Here is a 17,504-nt window from a genome sequence, read left to right as displayed (position 1 = left end):
AAGGGAACGCTCCAGCAGGCCCACACACAGGTCATGCGGATGCTGCTTGGCTCCAGCCACAGGCAAAATATGGCAAAATAAGAAATCCCACCTTGCCTTTGCTATTTGCATGTATTTTCCTGTTACTCCATTAGCTGGCCCCCAAATCAGTGCCCTAACTTGGTCAAACAGCAATGTTCTGAAGGCCCTGGCACAGGAGGGCTCTCAGTGTCATACCTATACCAGGTGAAGAAATCAGGTGCCTACTTCCAAATGAAGGCACCACTGGTATCTAACAGGGTTTCTTTCCTGAGGACGTCCAGACGTCCTTTGCACAGAGACGATGTGGCTGGGTGACCAGATGCCTCACAAAGTGGCTCCCTCTGCCACTGCAGATTCAGCACGTGAAACTGTCCCCACGAGACCCTCGGCTCAACCTCAGGGGAGAGGCACAAGGCCTCTTTCCAGGCCGGGATTTGGGTCAAAGCAGTGAGCAGAGAACTCTGAGCCTTTTCTCTTCATGGTGGTGGCAGGTTTGGGAGGAGCTGTAGGCCTGCAGGAGGCTTTGTGTTGAAAAGCTCCCTTCCACTCTCGGAAAGAGCTGGAGCAGGAGGGCAGTGTGCAGGCGTCTCTCCAGAACCTTTGTGTGCATGTGGTTCTGTCCAGGCCCGACCCTGGGCAGGCCCAGCTCGGGAGTGGCTGGGAGAAGCTCTCAGTGGTCACTTCCTGCTGGACATCTCCTGGCTGTGCAGAACACGTACGTGCATGACCACGCGCGGTGGGCTGAAGGGTCTCTCATCAAAGGTACATCCAGGTCCTGAAACACGTGACTGTGCCCTTACTTGGGGTCTTTGAGGATGGGAGTGAGGATCTTGAGATGAGATCTTGGGTCCTAAATCCAATGATGAGTCCTTGTAAGGGAAGAGGAGGGGAGGCAGTGACAGAGACACAGGGGAGGGCTGGGTGAAGACAGAGGCAGAGACTGCAGAGATGCGCCGGCAAGCTACAAGGGCAGAGGACGGCCAGTGGCCACCAGGAGCCAGAAGAGGTGAGGAAGACCCTCACCTGGAGCCTCCAGAGGGGGTGCGGCCCTGCCTACACCTTGATTTCAGATTTCTGGCCTCCAGAACTAAGAGAGAAGACATTCCTGTTGCTTTAAACCCCAAGTTGGTCATCAATTGTCCGAGGATCCCAAAGAAATGAACCCACCATTCGTTCGTTCATTGAGAGGGTTCCTACTGAGCCCCTTCCAAGAGCTAGACAGACACTCTTCCAGGAGCCCTAGGGCCCATCTAAAAGACTGGAAGCGGGGCCCTATCAAGAAGCCTGATGCCTCAGACCGCACCCCTCAACCAGAACTAACAACCAGAAAATCCACAGGAGGGGCTCTTTATCCATAGGCCACCAATAATCGGGGCTCTGGGTAAGACCTGCGGCCTTAAGGGGCCCACGTGAGAAAGACTCCTGGACTCACCCAGCCATTGCCACTAACTGACCGTGATGAACACCCTGGCAGACCCTGCATGGGGTCCTACAGCATAGTGCACTTGGCGCCATTCATGCAGCTCCTGCCAGCTGTCCCTTCACTCTAGAAATGTCCCGAGGCCTTTGCTCCCTTCACCTCTCTCTCCACAAACTGTACTTGATTTTCTTTTCCATATGATAATGTATACCCTCCAATGAATCTTCAACACTGAGCTCGCTTTGGGAGACACACACTGCCTCCAGGGCTACAGCAGAGAAACCCACAGTTCCCACTGATCTCCTGGTATGGCACCTGAGGCTTGGACAGATTCCTATCAGTGGCCTCAGGGGACTAAGCTTTGAAGATAAATGTGACTCGAAATGGCCAGAAGTCATTCACGACCAGGCTGCTGGGGATTCGGGCACACAAGCCTGCAGACCAGCCTCCATGGAAGGGCCGTGTGGAGGTGAACCCAGACAGCGCACGCGTGCATGTAGATGTGTGTGCACGTGCACGCCTGGGTGTGTGCATATGTGCATGAGTGTGTGTGCAGGTGTGTGAGTGCATGTGTGTAAATGTGTGTGCATGTGTATGGATGAGTGTGCATGCATGCATGAGTGTGCGAATGTGTGTACATGTGTGGGTGTATGTGTGTGCATGTATGAGTGAGCATGTGCATGAATGTGTGTGCAGGTGTGTGAGTGCATGTGTGTGTAACTGTGTGAGAGCATGTATGGGTGTGTGCATGCATGTGTGAATGTGTGTGCATGTGTGTGAGCGTACCTGTGTGCATGTCTGGGTGAGTGTGTGCATGAGTGTGTGTGCAGGTGTGGGTGAGTGTGCATGTGTAAGTGTGTGTGCATGCATGTATATGTGGATGTGTGTGCATGTGTGGGTGTGAGTGTGCATGTATGGGGGTGTGCATGAGTGTGTGCAGGTGTGGGTGACTGTGCATGCATACGTGTATGTATAGGTGAGTGTGTGCGTGTACACATGAGTGTGTGCGTGTGTGGGTGTGTACATGTGTGCATATACGGTTGAGTGTGTGCATGTATGCATGTGTGGGCATGTATGCATGAGTGCGTGCACGTAGGCATGAGTGTGTGTGCATGAGTGCATGTGAATGTGAGTGCATGTGTGGGTGAGTGTGCAAGCGTGTGTGCTTGAGTGTGTGTGTGAACCTCTCTGAGCAGCTCTGCCAAGATGTCCTGAACACTTCTAAAGACAAGGAGAGACTGGATTGGCGTGTCCCATCCACAGGAGCCTGGGAGCCAGGAAAGCAAATGAATCCCATGCTGCTTGCTTCTTCCCCACAGCTTTTCTCGAAGCTAACTCCTTCGGAGTCAGACAGCAGCTGCGTGCTCGTGAGTGGACTTGCTCACTCTGTCAAGTTGCCAGTGATCTAGCCTGTGTCCTCTCCCACCCTGGGTGTAGCACCAGCAGGCCATGGGGAGGGGATGGCATAGCAGGGCATCACCCCAAGGCTGGTCCTGGGGAGACCACACCAGAACCTGTTAGGTAGAGGTGAGCCACACTTTCTGGCTGGGAGGTAGTGACTGCTGTTTTTCAGGGCATGGCTTACATACGAAACTTTTCAAGGCACAGAAAATGCACTCACGCAAAATCCCATGGGGAAGGCTAATCCTGGACACATAAAAAAGAGGGGGAGAAGGTTTGAGCCCCTGCTGAGTGACAGGAGGGGCTGATAAGACAGCGCCGGGCAGCATCATTATTGCCAGGCTGCTTCTGCACATAATGGGGTCATTGAAGGGTGGGGGCCTCCTCCCAAGGCATCAAATGCATCCCACTGTGCAGGGAGCGAGGTGCCCCTGTGTGGCAATTTGGAGAAAGCTTGGGAAACTGCCTCCACTCTGACCCTGAGGCGGCTGGGAAAGAAACCTGCATACTGAATCCCTGGGGCTTCCCAGAGGAGGATCCAGGCCCCCCAGCAGGTGGGACCTGCCCACAGACCCAGAAGCAGATCGCTACTTTACCCAAAAGTAATAAATATGCTGTAGGTGGAAAGATCTGTGTGAAGTCTCTCTTAAGAGCAATAGATGAGTGGCTGGTCAACACCAGCTGGCGCTCTCGGGAGTCAATTAGACGGTAAGCAAGCTTATTTCTAGATGAAAACGTTAAACTCTCCAGTGGACTGCGGAGATTCAGGAGGAGTTTGGCCACAGCATCCTGAAAAATGCAATCAAATCCACAGTAACACTGGACGGTATTCAGGAGCTGCCTTAAAACACAGGAGTGCCTGGGGTGCAAGGCTTTTGGAGAGGCACACGGGGAAGGGAAAGGAAGGGACTCGCCTCAAAGACGCTCTGATCACAGGGAACATTTCTTAGGCACAAATATCCGTGGACACCAGCTCTGGGGCACACACGCGAATGGATGTAGGGGGCGCTCACAAGCAGCACAGAGGTGGCGCCTGCCTTCCGGGTGTTTCTATCGAGGCTAGCAGGTGTGGGCCCTGGAAGTCCATGGAAGGCGGGACTCACTGGGGCCTGAATCTTTACTGATGGTCCCCAGCCCTCTCCTTCCCCCACCTGCCCGAGGAGCCCAGGGAAGGGCTTCGCTGGGCAAACACTGCTCAGCGACCCACAGGGGCACGGCACTGCCACCATGGCATCATAGGGAACCTTCACAAATGCACAGCCTCATGATTTCAGACCCACTGATATCTCACTATATTCCCGGATGCGCAAAAGAGTCAGCCCCTACAGAAACGCACTGGCAGGTGGCACAGAAGCCAGACCCACAAGAAACCCAGGCCAGAGAGGGGCTGAGTAACGGCCACCTGGCCTGCAGCTCACTTGGGGACTCCCAGCTCTCTTGGGTTTCCTCTGAACCTCAAAGTAAGAGTGGCCACCTTCCTTCTGCCACAGGAGATCTGAGTTCAACCCCAGGTCTACCTCTATCTCCCTGCGGGCACATTGCCCCAGCTGTGCACCTGCTCACCAGTCACCTGAGGGAAACTGGATGGGATGATGGTTCGAGCCCCTTCTCCACCCGGACACAGCCGCTCCAGACCTCCCATCTCGGGATTCCCAGCTCTTCCTCCAATGCCTTTACTAATTAATTCTTGCTGTCTAACCGTGCCTGGTCTGTGCCTTTTCTTCCTCACTGGACGGTGAGTTTCTTAAGGCAGGCCCCACTTCTGTGCCTCTCCTTGCACTCTGCTCCCTGCGGGCAGCCGTGGGCACAAGAGCAAGAAAGGATTTGAGGTGCTAGAAGGCAGATGCAGCATGGAAGGTCATCCAAGGGGAGCAGCGGGAGAGTGTGCAGGGCTCACCAGAGTGTGTGAAGGAAGCAACACCCAGGGCCAGCCAGTGGAGGCACAGGGTGTGGGCTTCAGCAGCTGGTCAGGGCTGCATGATACCCAGTGGGATGCCACGGCACAGGTGCACAGACGGCTCCCAGCCAATTGCCACGGCTGCCCACGGCTGCCCACAGGGAGCAGGGTGTGAGGAAGGGCACAGAAGTGAGGCCTGTCTTGAGGAACTCACCATCCAGTGAGGAAGAAAAGGCACAAACCGGTCACGGCCAGACGGCCCTTGGGGAAGGGAGGAAGGGCTGGGGAAGCCCAAGGCGGGAGGTTGGGAGTGGCAGGGAGAAGAGGGCTCTTCCAGACCCCAGGGAAAAGGCCCTCCCAGACAGAGGCACAGGAGGCCAAGCAGACGGAGGGGACAGAGCACGCCACTCCCCTGCAGAACGACTATTTTCTGCTGAAGCCAAGTAAGAATCGACGGACGCAAGAAGAGTTCTCTTACCTCCCCTCTTCTGCCTAAAAGCAGGGCATTACCCCCTCCTCCCACCCCACCCTCCTGCCTCTGCTTCTGTACCAGGATTTGGAGAGCGCCCCTTATCACCTGAGAGGGAGGCCAGCCCCCAGTGAATCTGCATCAACAGACTTTGCCAAGATAACCTTAATCTTCCATTCGTTCCTCCATGGAGTTCCTAGTCACTTGCCCACCATCTGTCACCCCGCGAAGCCCAAACCCCCTTTTCCTTGGTCTAGCCACTTCTCCACATCCTATTGCTGCTTGTTAAAATGGTATATATGCTCCCGAACCCAAGCACTTTTTTTGGTTTTTACTTCTTGTCTGCGAAGCCCCCGTGCATAGAAGATTAAAAGTGTTAAAATCGTATGCCTCTTCTCTTGTTAATCTGTCTTTTGGAGGCCCCAGATGCTCAACCTCCGAGGGCAGAGACAATGTTGTTTCTCCGCCGCACAGGCACCTGAGCCCGGCCCACCGCAGGCTGCACTGCAGGGCCTCACCCCATAGCCAGTGATCTTTCACAGCTGATTAGCGGGCATCGAGCAAGATCTGGACATCAAGAGGGCGCTGAGCGGTGAGCAGGGATGGCTTCCTGAACAAGGCTGGCCGGAGCTGGACCCAGAGGGGTGGTCAGCTCTCAGCTCCTGGAACCAGCACCCCTCTCACTGGAAGGGCCCTGGGGAGGCCGGTGGGCTCCAGGTCTCTCCTCTGACTCCACGGATGGCAGACCCTGGAGGAGTTGGCTCCTCTGCCAACCCCAACCTCAGTCCTCATGCTCCTGGACCCTGATGTGAGTTTGAGGAGGACCAGCTCCTAAACCAACGATATTCTCCAGTCAGGGCCCTTGGCTCCTCCACGGCAGCTGGGTAGGTCACGGTGTCACAAGGCACTGGCAGGGCCACCCACCAGTGACTCCCAAGCCAGGATCAGCCCAAAGGCAGGGACCGCATGGTGAGGTGTGAACCAGCACCCCTCTGGTTCACACCATTGAGATCCCCAGGCTAGAGCAGTGCCCAGCCCTGCAGGCACTCAGTACAAATCTGTACGCTGGATGGATAGAAGGAGGACGGAGCCGTGGAACACCACTGAGGCAGTGTCAGTCAGCATCTGGGTGCCCTGTGTGTCAACCGGCATTTGTGCCCTGTGGGTACCACCCTGTCCTACATCTGGGAGAGAAAACAGCTCCCAGTGCCATGCAATGCACTCTCCTTTGCATACGAACCCAGCCACACCTGTGGACCCATCCGCAGGCAGCTCTGCGGAGGAGGAGCTTGGCCGTTGCCCCATCTCACGCGAATCTGGGGGAAGGGGTCTCCAGAGCGAGCTGGGGTGGCTGCAGCCCCCAGCACAGAGCTCCAGCCATGCCGGTCCTGGCTGGGTAAGAGCAGCGGCCACTCGCTGTTGCCTGTCTGGAGTTTTGGCCGGTGCTGGCTGGGCAAGAGCAGCGGCCACTCGCTGTTGCCTGTCTGGAGTTTTGGAAATGTGGCTGCCAGGCCGGGGATGCTGTGAAAGCTTTGTGCTCCAGAGGCCAGCCAAGCCCCCACCCCACTCTGTTTCCCGCCACGGCCCTTGCCATGGAGCAAGACCCGCCTCTTCTGGACCTCCAAATCCCTGACCGTGAAAAGCAACGTGGCAGAGAATCTTACTGTGTGGCCCAATCTGATGCGTACTGCCCTCAGAGGTCACCCAGCCACACAGAACGATAACAACCTCCTCCCGCATAGCTGACCTGAATCCTTCTCCTCCAAAGGCCGGCCTCAGTGCTCCCATCTCCTCCCCAAGCAAGCATCCCCACTGGCTCGGCTCTTGCTCCCAAGAAGGCTGCCGCCGCCTGCCCCTGCATCCTGCTGCCTGACCTCACCTGTCCTGCCCCTCCCCAGCTTTCCAGGGGTACTGAGCACCTGTAAGAACCTCCAGGTCCAAGGCCAGGACTTACTGTCCTGCGCCCTGGCCCGCCTTTCCTGAGCACTGCTGCAAAGCCACCAGGCACTGCACAAGACACTCCCCAAACGCCTCCCCGTGCAGTAACCTGGGAAGCATCCCTAGCCACTGCGCTCTGACATCACGAACCACCTTCTCACACGACCAGACCCTGCCCTGCATCCACCCACCACAACACCCACAGGGTCCTCACTCTGCCCCGGACAGCAGGCAGGGCCCTGGCGTGAACACCCGCGAACACCCGCACGCAGCCCTTGTTTCTCCCACCCACAAGCCAGCTGTCCAGGAATCAGTTCTTAGTCCTTCTGCACTCAAATCCACATTCATTCCAACAGCAGGAAGAGAAAACTCCCGCCCCGCCGGACACCAGGAGGCCGCAGTACTTGGAGCGCCCACCAGGTGTCAGAAGGAAATCGCGGCAGCCAGGGAGCAGCTCTCCCTCCATCTCCTCCCGCGGCGAGGGACACCCGAGGATGCCTCTGAGCCTGTGAGCCAGGTGCAACCCAGACCAAGGAAGTTCCCAAACCCAGCAAGGGGGGTGGCCAATTCCACGTGGTGTGGCTGCCCAGGGGCGAGGAGTGGGAAAGGCCCCGGAGCCATCTGCTGTGGTTACTGCTGCTGCGGCCGTTTGCTGGGCAACTGCAGGGTCCTGAGGCCACCGTCTGGGCTGAGCACTGGCAGGCTCCCTGGGCCCCGAGGGGCCCCACTCTCCCCATAGCCACAGTTCAGCCCCAGAAACATCTGAACGGGGCTGGTGTGAGGAGTGCCTGGGTGAGGGGGGATTTGAAGACACAAGCCTCTGGGTCACCTCCACAGGCAGGGACAGCTCGGGTCACAGTGTGGAGAGGAGGCGTGGGCAGCCCCACACCTTGTGTGATCTCAGGAAACACAGTCAACCTCTTACCCTTTCTCCAGGGTCCCCGACTTGGCCAGTGGGACCCATGGTTCCTGGAGGTCCGGGAAGACCCTAGAATTAAAAATAAAGTTGGGGCAGTTAGAAGATGGGGCCGCAGGGCAAGGTCCAAGTTCCAACTGGCCAACCAAGGCAGAGGTGGGGGTGGGATAGCGCCGGCTCCCAGGGGATCTGCAAAAGCGGAGAGCCCCCCTCTTTTCCATCCAGGAGACATAAGGGGTGTCACCAACCCCACCCCACCAAGAGCACCTTCTGCAAGTCACAGGATAAAGCCGGATACTCACCGCGGGGCCTTCTGGGCCAGGCGGGCCCTCGATGAGCATGCCCTGGGGAGACAGAGAGAGGGCGTCTGAGACCGCAGCCCATCCCTCCCGACACCCCAGACCCCAGTGGTGTGGACGGCCTTCAGCTGCATGCACAAGAGGCCCTGGCTCAGCTCCTGCTGTCCTGGGGAGTCACGAGCACAGACTGCAAAGGGGGCCTGTGGTGGGGCCTCAGTGGCTGTCCTCCTGGCACTCGCTGGCAGAAGAGCAACCCGGGCCAGCGGCCAGTGACAGACACAGGCTCCCGCAAGACCAGCGCCACGAGAAGCACCTGAAGACGCCGAGATGAGGAAAAGGAGCCGAGACCGCCAGGCTCCCTGCATCACCCCAAAGGGGAGTGCCAGGCAGGTCCGCCAGGCCAAAGCCACTCGAGGGAGGAGGTGGATGCCAGGACAAGGGGACTCGGGTGGATTTGGGAAGGATAAGGGAAAAATAGGTGCCCCAGCTCCAGGCTGAACTTCTGTCCCCAGCCAGGACCACCGTCAGGCCCCAGGGCTGCAACCTCCAGACCCCGCCTCCCTCCAGGTAAGAGGTGCATCCTCCCATGCACGCAGCAGCCCAGAACCCATGGGAAACCCTGCCATGTCCACCTGCCCACTCAGCCCTCCTCCTCTGGCCCTCACCTCACCACAGGGCCCATCTGCCTCAAGCACACCCAGGCCTCACTCTAACCCCAATGGGGACAGGGCCTCCTGGCTCTTGGGTCAGCCTGAGCCCTGGGAAAGGCAATGTGGACAGCTGTGAAGGCAGCAGTGGGAGCGGCTCCCTGCAGGACGGGGCTCCCTGCCCTGAGACCCCCACTTCCGACCCCTTCCCCAGGGCGGGATTCCTCTCTCCACTTCTGACCTGGCAACGCCAGGGTCAGGCACCCCCAATGCCCCAAGAGTCCTCCGTGTTCCATGACGACTTCAGGGCGACTGTTCCTCAAGGGACTTGCTCTGACAGATGGGAACCAGGTGCTACTCAACAAGACAATGGAGAATGACCCCGAGGCAGCCAGAGATCTTTGAGGCAAGCTAGGACCTGGGGGACCACATTTTCAAAGAGGTACCCAGGAACTCAGCATTCCCTGCCCTGCACCCCTCAAGTGTCTGCTCCCCACGTTGCGACACAGCACCCGTCAGCCGCCCAGCCAAGGCTCCAGCAGGCCCAGGGGCAGCTCTGGCTCAGCTCTGGAGGGTGTGGGTGTGGCCTCGGCGACACCCATGGGTACTGATTATCCTGCAGCTGCAGGGAAGGAAGGCAGGAACTGCGGCCATGGCGCCCTCCACGTAGAGGTCAAAGTGTGGCATGGACAGCCTGGGGTCCCGTGCAGAAACCAGCCACAGGGGCAGAGGCTCTGCAGAGAGTTCCCTGGGATGACGCCTGGTGGATCTATGGAAGTGGAGGCACCATTGAGACCCCAGGACTGTAGCGTCACCAGCATACAGCGCCAGCCTGGGAGGGCAGCAAGGACGAGGCTCCAACTCCTGAGACCTGCTGTGCAAAGCTGTATGAGCAGTGCTGCCTGAGGCCCTGGGGCCGCCTCCCTCCAGTGTGCCCAGGAGGTGGCACACCAAGTGAAAGATTATTCTAGAAAGGTTCGTCCTGTGGGGTTTTGAACTTCCTCGGGGCTGCTACCCCTTTCTTCATGCTTCTCTTTTGGAATGGGAACCTGTCCCCCTCCCCATCACCATGTAGTTTGGAAGCATGAGGCTTGTTTCATTCCCCAAGCTCACAGCTGGACAGGGATTTGCTTCAAGATAGATAATTTGAGCCTAAGTCTCATCAGTACCTGATTTGGGTGAGACTCTGGACTTCGAACTTTTGAGATGATGTGGGTACCGGATGGAGTGAATGTAAACTGTATGTGAGAAGGACATGAATTTGGGGGCTGGGACAGAATGTGCTAGGGTTTGAATGTGTCTCCCCAAAAGTCATGTGTTGGAAACTGAATCCTCAATGCAACCGTGTTGAGAGGTGGGATCTTCAGGAGGTGATTAGGTCACCAGGCTCTGCCTTCCTGGATGGGTGAATGCAGCTACGATGGGAGCGGGCTCGTTAGGGTGGGAGTGGGCTCTTGATGACAGGATGGCAGCAGTCACCTTCTCTCCCGCTCCTTCTCACCATGCGATGCCTTCCGCTATGTGAGGACACAGCAAGAAGGCCCTCGCCAGATGTGGTCCCTCTATATGTGACTTCCTGACCTCCAGAACTGTGGGCCAATGAAGTCCTGTTCATTCTAAATCACCCTGACTGTGGTGTGCTGTAACAGCAGCTCACAATGAACTAAGCTCACTTCTGACAAGTCAAAGGTTGTGTCCAGCCAGGCCACAGGCCACAGGCCACCGGAGGCTGCTGCCAGAGGTGCTGGGTACCAGGCTGGTGAGGGGACTCCCGGCCAGGGGGCTGCAGATGTCCAGCCAGTTCACAGGCCACCGGAGGCTGTCACCAGAGGTGCTAGGTGCCAGGCTGGCAAGGGGACTCCCGGCTGGGGGGGCCGCAGATGTCCAGCCAGGCCACAGGCCACCAGAGGCTGTCACCAGAGGTGCTGGGTACCAGGCTGATGAGGGGACTCCCGGTTGGGGGGAACACCGATCTCCCCACCCCTCCCATCCTGCCCCAGCTGGGGAGCTCTGCACTGTGTTTACACAGATGCACACTCAGAGAGACACCCGTGTGTGTGCTGTACACAGAGAGCTCATCCAAGCAGCCTCCAAGATGCCAGTTTTCCAATTTCCGTCTCTGACAAAGGCAGCTGAGAAAGCCCAGGGCTGAGCTGGGATTAAGGGAGAAACCACTGGCCATCAAGGGGCCAGGGACAGCAGCTGCCTTCCCAGACACGCAAATTGCTTTTCTCAGGGAACTGGGGCAACGCGGGCGGGGACCTTGCAGGGAAGCCAACACCAGATCATCCCAGGTCAGCGTCTGAAGGAAGCTGGGAACAGCTGGATGAATGCGCCTGAGGGTGGGGATGCCTGAACCTTCCCAGGCAAGCTGTGGCCCCGCTCCCGCCCCGGCCCACCCAACCACGGACGCCACTCTCAAAATTGACCCAGCGAAAGAGGAACGAGAGGAAAACGCCTCGATATAGTTAATGATATTGCACTGTAGATGTCATTTGCCAAAAGAGTACACTTTAGGCACTTTTACCATAAAGAAGAAAAAGAGGCAGCTATGGGGTGGTGGTGGTGGGTGCAGGATCACTTCACTGTGTCTGTCTGTGCCTGGGTAACTCTATCAAACATGCTGCACACCTTCAATGCACACAATTTTTTTTTTTTTTTTGAGATGGAGTCTCACGCTGTCCAGGCTGGAGTGCAGTGGCGCAATCTTGGCTCACTGCAACCTCCGCCTCCTGGGTTCAACTGATTCTCCTGCCTCAGCCTCCAGAGTAGCTGAGATTACAAGTGCCCACCACCACACCTGGTTAATTTTTTTGTAGTTTTAGTAAAGACAGGGTTTTGCCATGGTGGTCAGGATGGTCTCGAACTCCTGACTTCAGGTGATCTGCCTGCCTCAGCCTCCCAAAGTGCTGGGATTACAGGTGTGAGCCACCGCACCCGGCCGAATGCATACAATTTTAACAAAAGAAATAAAAGACCTCAGACCTGGCAGAACTCAAGACAATCTCAATGGAGGGTCCACCCATCTGGTAAACAGCACATATTTTAAAAACAAAAAACAGTGTCAAGTGGAGATGGTGATTTGGATGCCCCTAATGGATGTGGCCCAGGTAAAATCAGCCACTGAGTCTGGGGGCTTCCTGCCTGGAAGCACAAGGATAAGGATGAACCTGTCTCCTCTCGGTTCCGTGGATTCCTGTCCTTTTAGGGAGCCTCTGGTCTGGCTGACAATGAGAGGGAGCGGGACTGAGTGGGAAAGACCTGGGCATGCCCCTGGAACAGATGCATCTCCCAAGAGGGAGCTCAGGTGGGGCAGACAACAGACACCCCCTTCCACAGGCCGGGACGCCCGCAGGGCCCCAGGACCTGGCCATCTGTTTATGTGCAGCTTGGACCCAAGGATATCTGGCAACGTTCCAGGTTGAGAAATTCCAACTGTTTATGTGATCTCTGCAGGGGGCCTGGCCAAAGGCCCCAGGACACTTGGAGCAGGCTGGGGCCCGGGGGAGGGAATCCTTCCTAACTGCACCCAGACGGCTGCTGCTTTTCCCAACAAAGGTGAACTGGACTTTCCAGAGCCATGATGTTCCTGTACGGCTGCTGCTTTTCCCAACAAAGGTGAACTGGACTTTCCAGAGCCATGATGTTCCTGTGGGGCCACCTCGACTCTCGGCCCTCTCCTTGGCCCACCCTTGCCCACTGCTGCCTTCCCGGGTGCCTGGCAGTGGAAAACCTGTGCCCACCCCACACTCCCAACCCCCTCCTGGAGCCCAGACACCACGTCTACACTCACAGAGCCAGCTTACTCGGGAACATGAGCCAACACGAAGCTCATTCAAAGGTTTCAGTCCGGCCCTCCCAGAGCGGGGAGGGGAAACCGAACTGGGATCCTGCAGAGCCAGGGGCACCTGCCCACCCTGAGATCCCATCTTCCTCCCCGAGCAAGGACCCCCTTTCACTGAAGCAATGGGGACAGCACAAAAGAAGCCCAAGGCCAACCTCAAGTCTACCTGGGGGCCAAGTCTGGGGAAATGCAACCGGATGTCCCACCTCTCAATAACAAGTGTAGCTTGGGGCTGGGACCTTGGATGTAGCCTCTGCTGTTGTTCACCTTCTGGCAAACACCCTTGGGCAGAGCAGAACAGGCCCGCAGCCCCCTGCTTCTGGGTGAGTCCGCCCAGGCGGACGGCAGTCACTCTCCCCCACAGCTGCTCTGGTCCCTGAGCCCAGGCCTGGCTCTGAGGTTTTCCACAATGCTGAGCAGGGGGATCCTGGCCTCAGAGTCTCCTTTCATGCCTCTGCACCCCTTTGCCCTGCAGCCCATGACCCTTCTGCCTCAGACAAGCTCTGTCTTCCCTGGACCCCCAGAGAGCACTGGAAAGGGGGTCCGAGAAAAGGATGTGTCTGTAGGCACCGGCAGGTCCCACCCCTGGGTTGGGCCTGGAGCAAGGGCATAGAGCCCCACAAGAGCCATCCAGACGCTTCCATAGGCCAGGAAGGGGTGAAGCCCTGGACCCTGGGAATTCCACCCCAGAGATGGGACACATCCCGTCTGCCCTGGCCACGGGCTTCAAAGAGATTCCAGGGGTATAAAGGCCTGCTAAGTGCCATCCGTCAAGGTTCCAAGAGAATGTCCCCAGCTCTACAGTAGGGTGGCGGGTCACTGTGACTGCACATTCTGGGAACTGCAAGGTCAGGGGGCTTCTGGGAGACCCAAGGTGTATCCTGAGCTCAGCCCTCAGGAACTGAGTCCTGGCGGCAGAACAAACAGCTGCCCCCAGCCTCATGACTGGCCGTGGTGCAGGACGCACACCTCCTCCTGTGGGCACTTGGACAACATGGCAGGGTGGGCCTTGGTGCTGGCTCCTCCCTGCTCTCCGGTCGTGCCCACCACATGCAGCGGCAGGACTCCCTGCCCAGCTGATCACAGGGCATCCTGCCTGCCGGCGGCGGGGCGGGGCATCAAGACCTTAGTGGCTCTGAGACCCCAGGGAGAACTGGAGGCCTCCCAGCCAGGCCATGGCCCCCTATGGGACAAGGACACCCCAGTATGGGGCAGGGCCCCCACCAAACGCGCCAACCAGGAGGGGCATCTAGAACGTCCTCGCTACAGTCCCACGCTTGAGGGCATTATCAACAGTAACTTTTTGAACTCACCCGTGATCTCATTACCTAACATAGTTGGGTTTTACTCAGCTGGAATTTCAGCACAGTGCTGTTTTATTTCATTCCCTTGATAAAGTTTCATAAACAGTATTCCATGTTTCAACAGCTTCTGTAAACTTACTCCAAACGGTTGCATAACAGACGCAGAGAGGTACGACCACGTGTTAACTATTCCCTACCACTGCCGCGCGCATCTTTTACACGGAATGGGCCATTTACATCCTCTCCTCCACCCCTCAAAGGGGACTCCGCCTCCGCCTCGATAGCTCTGAGCTGCTTTTCATCCCAGGTGAAACTGACCAGCACTGAGATGCCCAGAGCTTGGGTGCAGGACCGGCTTTGATCAGCACCTATCCCGCCCCCTCCATCACAGTCCAGAACATCCCCTACCCAAGGGGATTCTTCACAAGTCCTGGGGACAAGTGGTGCGTGGACTCCACGAGACCAGGTGGTTGCTCGAAGTGACCCAGTGCGCGCAGGTGCAGGGGCCCACGGACCTGTTCACACCCTACACACCCCGCTGTGACCCCGAGCAGCGGACACCCCGGCGCAGGGAGGGAATGAGAAAATGTCCTCACCGGCTCGATAATCGCTGGTTCTCCCTTTTGGCCTTTCTCGCCCCGAGGTCCTCCAATCTGGGGGTGATAAAAGGCAGATGGAAAGAGAATCAGAGAGAAAAGTGAGAAAGAAAGTCCAGATTACACAAAATCTGCCCGATTTCGCAAGGCCGAGGGCACTATCGTAGCTGGGCATCTCCCCAGGCCCAGGAGGATGGCAGGAGCGTGACAGAGGCCAGGCCCACGGGAGCCCATGTGACTACTAACGAAGAAACAGGCCCAGAGGAGAGTATGCTCCGATACACACGTTATTCAGAGCAAATTCGAGGCACCGAGGTCTCTTTAAAAATAAAGTTTTGGGAATAGGGTGTAACACTTGAGCTGCCCGTAGAGGCCCACCCCTGAGGAGGCTCTTGGGCAGGAGCCCCCATGATGCCCCACCAGCCCCCCAACCCCACCCGGAACGGGGGCCTGCACCCTCTCACCCCTTCATAGATGGTATCCTGGTTCGCCGGCATTCCCGGCCCGATCTCCGACGGGGAGCTGGTGGGGTCGTAGTAGGGGTCGTAGTAGTTCTCGTCAAGGTTCCGGATCGTTTCCTCAGTGAACTCCCCCTCCAAGTCATCCGCACCTTCCCCTGGAGGCGGAGCTGGCTGCAGAGGGAGAGGAAGGCGCAGGGTTGCCTCGCAAACGCACCAGGCACTGCCTCTCCATCAGGCCCTGGGCGGGCACTGTGGCTATCCGGTCAACTGGGCAGAGATCCCAGATCCATCAGGCCCTGTGCTGGCACCATGGCTACCCGGTCAACTGGGCAGAGACCCCCCTCTGGGAGAGACCTCCTCTGAGGGCTCCAGGTCTGACAACTCGGAGCTGGCACACCATGGAGCTGGCACACCCGTGCACCCGCTCAGGCAGGGGCTGCACCCCACAGCCCCAGGGTCTTGCGATAATGCATCCCAGGGCGGTGCTGCAGACGCAGGGGTCTGGACCTGCTGGAACGAGGTGTCCTCTCTGGCAGTGGAGATTCTGCATCACACAGTGGCTATGTTAAGCATCGGCCATGTGCTACACACTACGCAAGGCTCCTCCTGAATCTGAAAACTTCACAGCCCCCAGAGACAGGAACTGTCAGTGCCATGTTGGAAAGGAGAACCGCGAGGTCCAGAGACGCAGACTAACTTTCCAAGGTCTCGGGCAGAGCTTTCAGGCCTGTCTGCTGACAGTCAGCCCCCGTCCCAGCCAGGGCGGCCCCAGCTCCTGCTTCGCTGTATTTGTCTGGATCCTGGCTCCCAGCCCCATCCTGCCTGGCCACACCCAGGCCACAGGCAGGGACTCTGTCCACAAGCCACCCCCCTCCTCATCCAATTTCCACCTGAATCCTCAAAGACCGGAAGGGCTAGGGTCATTCTACCCATTTTCCAGGCAAAAAATTGACAACATTGAGATGAACTCAGCAAACCAGGGATTCCAAACTTGTTCAGCAATGGCCTCCCCTGGGAAGTATTACGCCACCCAGCTGCAAAGGGCCCAGGGCCAGGGTGTGGTGGAACACAGGGGCCACCCGAGGACACCAAGGTGAGAACTGGAGTAAGAAGGGAGCTCAGCATTGTGGCCCCAGCCCTGGCCCTTGGCCCACTGCCCCAGACCAAACCAATGGGAAGGAAAGAAATTACATTGGAGGAGTTGGAGGTGTCGGCGGTGCTGGTGGGAATTTCGGCCCCAGCGCCTGGGTCTGTGGGCTGGTCGGGGTTCTCCTCCCCCTCGCCATAGGTGAGGTCATCATACGGTGAGGGCGTGTAGTAGTCCTCACTGGGCACGTAGTCATAGTCCCCGATGCCGACGTCCTCTTCCTTCCCAGCCCCTTCACTGGTTTCAGGCATGGGAGCAGCTTCCGTGGGGGTCGGGGTCAGCTCCTGGGAGCCAAGGACAGAGACAGCTGGAGTCAGGGCGGAGGCCGGCAGTGGTGCCAGGTCTGGGACTTGCCGCATGTCCGGGTGCAGGCATCTCAGTGGCAACGCCTGGAGCCCAGGCCTGTCAAGAGGCCCAGAGACCTCTTGGGTGCAGGGGCCGCCCCCATCCATGGGGCTTGGGGGCAGAGCAAGTGGGAAGAAGGCAGCCCAGCTGCAAGCCCCCAGTTACTAAGCGTGCTCAGAATGGACTCAAACCCACCCAGTTACACACCAGAAAAGGGTGAATCATATCTCAGTATTTAAAAAACAAAAGTAGCAAAACACTCCAGGCTCTCAGAGCAATGTGAGATGACCAGGTCACCTTTCCCTGGAAGGATACACACACGCTCACACACACAGGCTCATGCACACCCGTGCCCGCATGCACACACGCTCACACACGCTCACACACACAGGCTCATGCACACCCGTGCCCGCATGCACACACGCTCACACACGCTCACACACACAGGCTCATGCACACCCGTGCCCGCATGCACACACGCTCACACACGCTCACACACACAGGCTCATGCACACCCGTGCCCGCATGCACACACGCTCACACACGCTCACACACACAGGCTCATGCACACCCGTGCCCGCATGCACACACGCTCACACACGCTCACACACACAGGCTCATGCACACCCGTGCCCGCATGCACACACGCTCACACACACTCTCACACACACGCAGGCTCAAGCACACCCGTGCCTGCATGCCACATGCTCACACACACTCGTTCATGCACACACACACACCGCCCATGCTCACACCCCACCCTCTTTACCTCTGACAATGGCTCTGAGGCTGGACAGCC

At 57.8% G+C, this 17,504-nt stretch overlaps 1 protein-coding gene across 3 annotated transcripts in view; it reads right to left on the bottom strand.

Annotated features, from left to right (window-relative positions):
- The window catches only part of COL5A1 (collagen type V alpha 1 chain), a 203,041-nt gene that overhangs the window by 97,964 nt on the left and 87,573 nt on the right, over positions 1-17,504 (bottom strand). For all 3 annotated transcript variants that reach the window (NM_000093.5, XM_017014266.3, NM_001278074.1), the window contains exons 7-11: positions 16,405-16,644; positions 15,217-15,384; positions 14,753-14,809; positions 8,365-8,406; positions 8,072-8,134 (exon numbers count right to left, since the gene is read on the bottom strand). In NM_000093.5, the coding sequence (NP_000084.3) occupies positions 8,072-8,134; positions 8,365-8,406; positions 14,753-14,809; positions 15,217-15,384; positions 16,405-16,644 (570 nt within the window). The remainder of the gene's footprint in view (positions 1-8,071; positions 8,135-8,364; positions 8,407-14,752; positions 14,810-15,216; positions 15,385-16,404; positions 16,645-17,504) is intronic.

This window comes from Homo sapiens, chromosome 9 (genome assembly GCF_000001405.40).
Source record: "Homo sapiens chromosome 9, GRCh38.p14 Primary Assembly".
NCBI classification, from domain to species: domain Eukaryota; kingdom Metazoa; phylum Chordata; class Mammalia; order Primates; family Hominidae; genus Homo; species Homo sapiens.
Note: the sequence above shows the minus strand (reverse complement) of the source record. Positions and strands in the feature narration are given on the sequence as shown.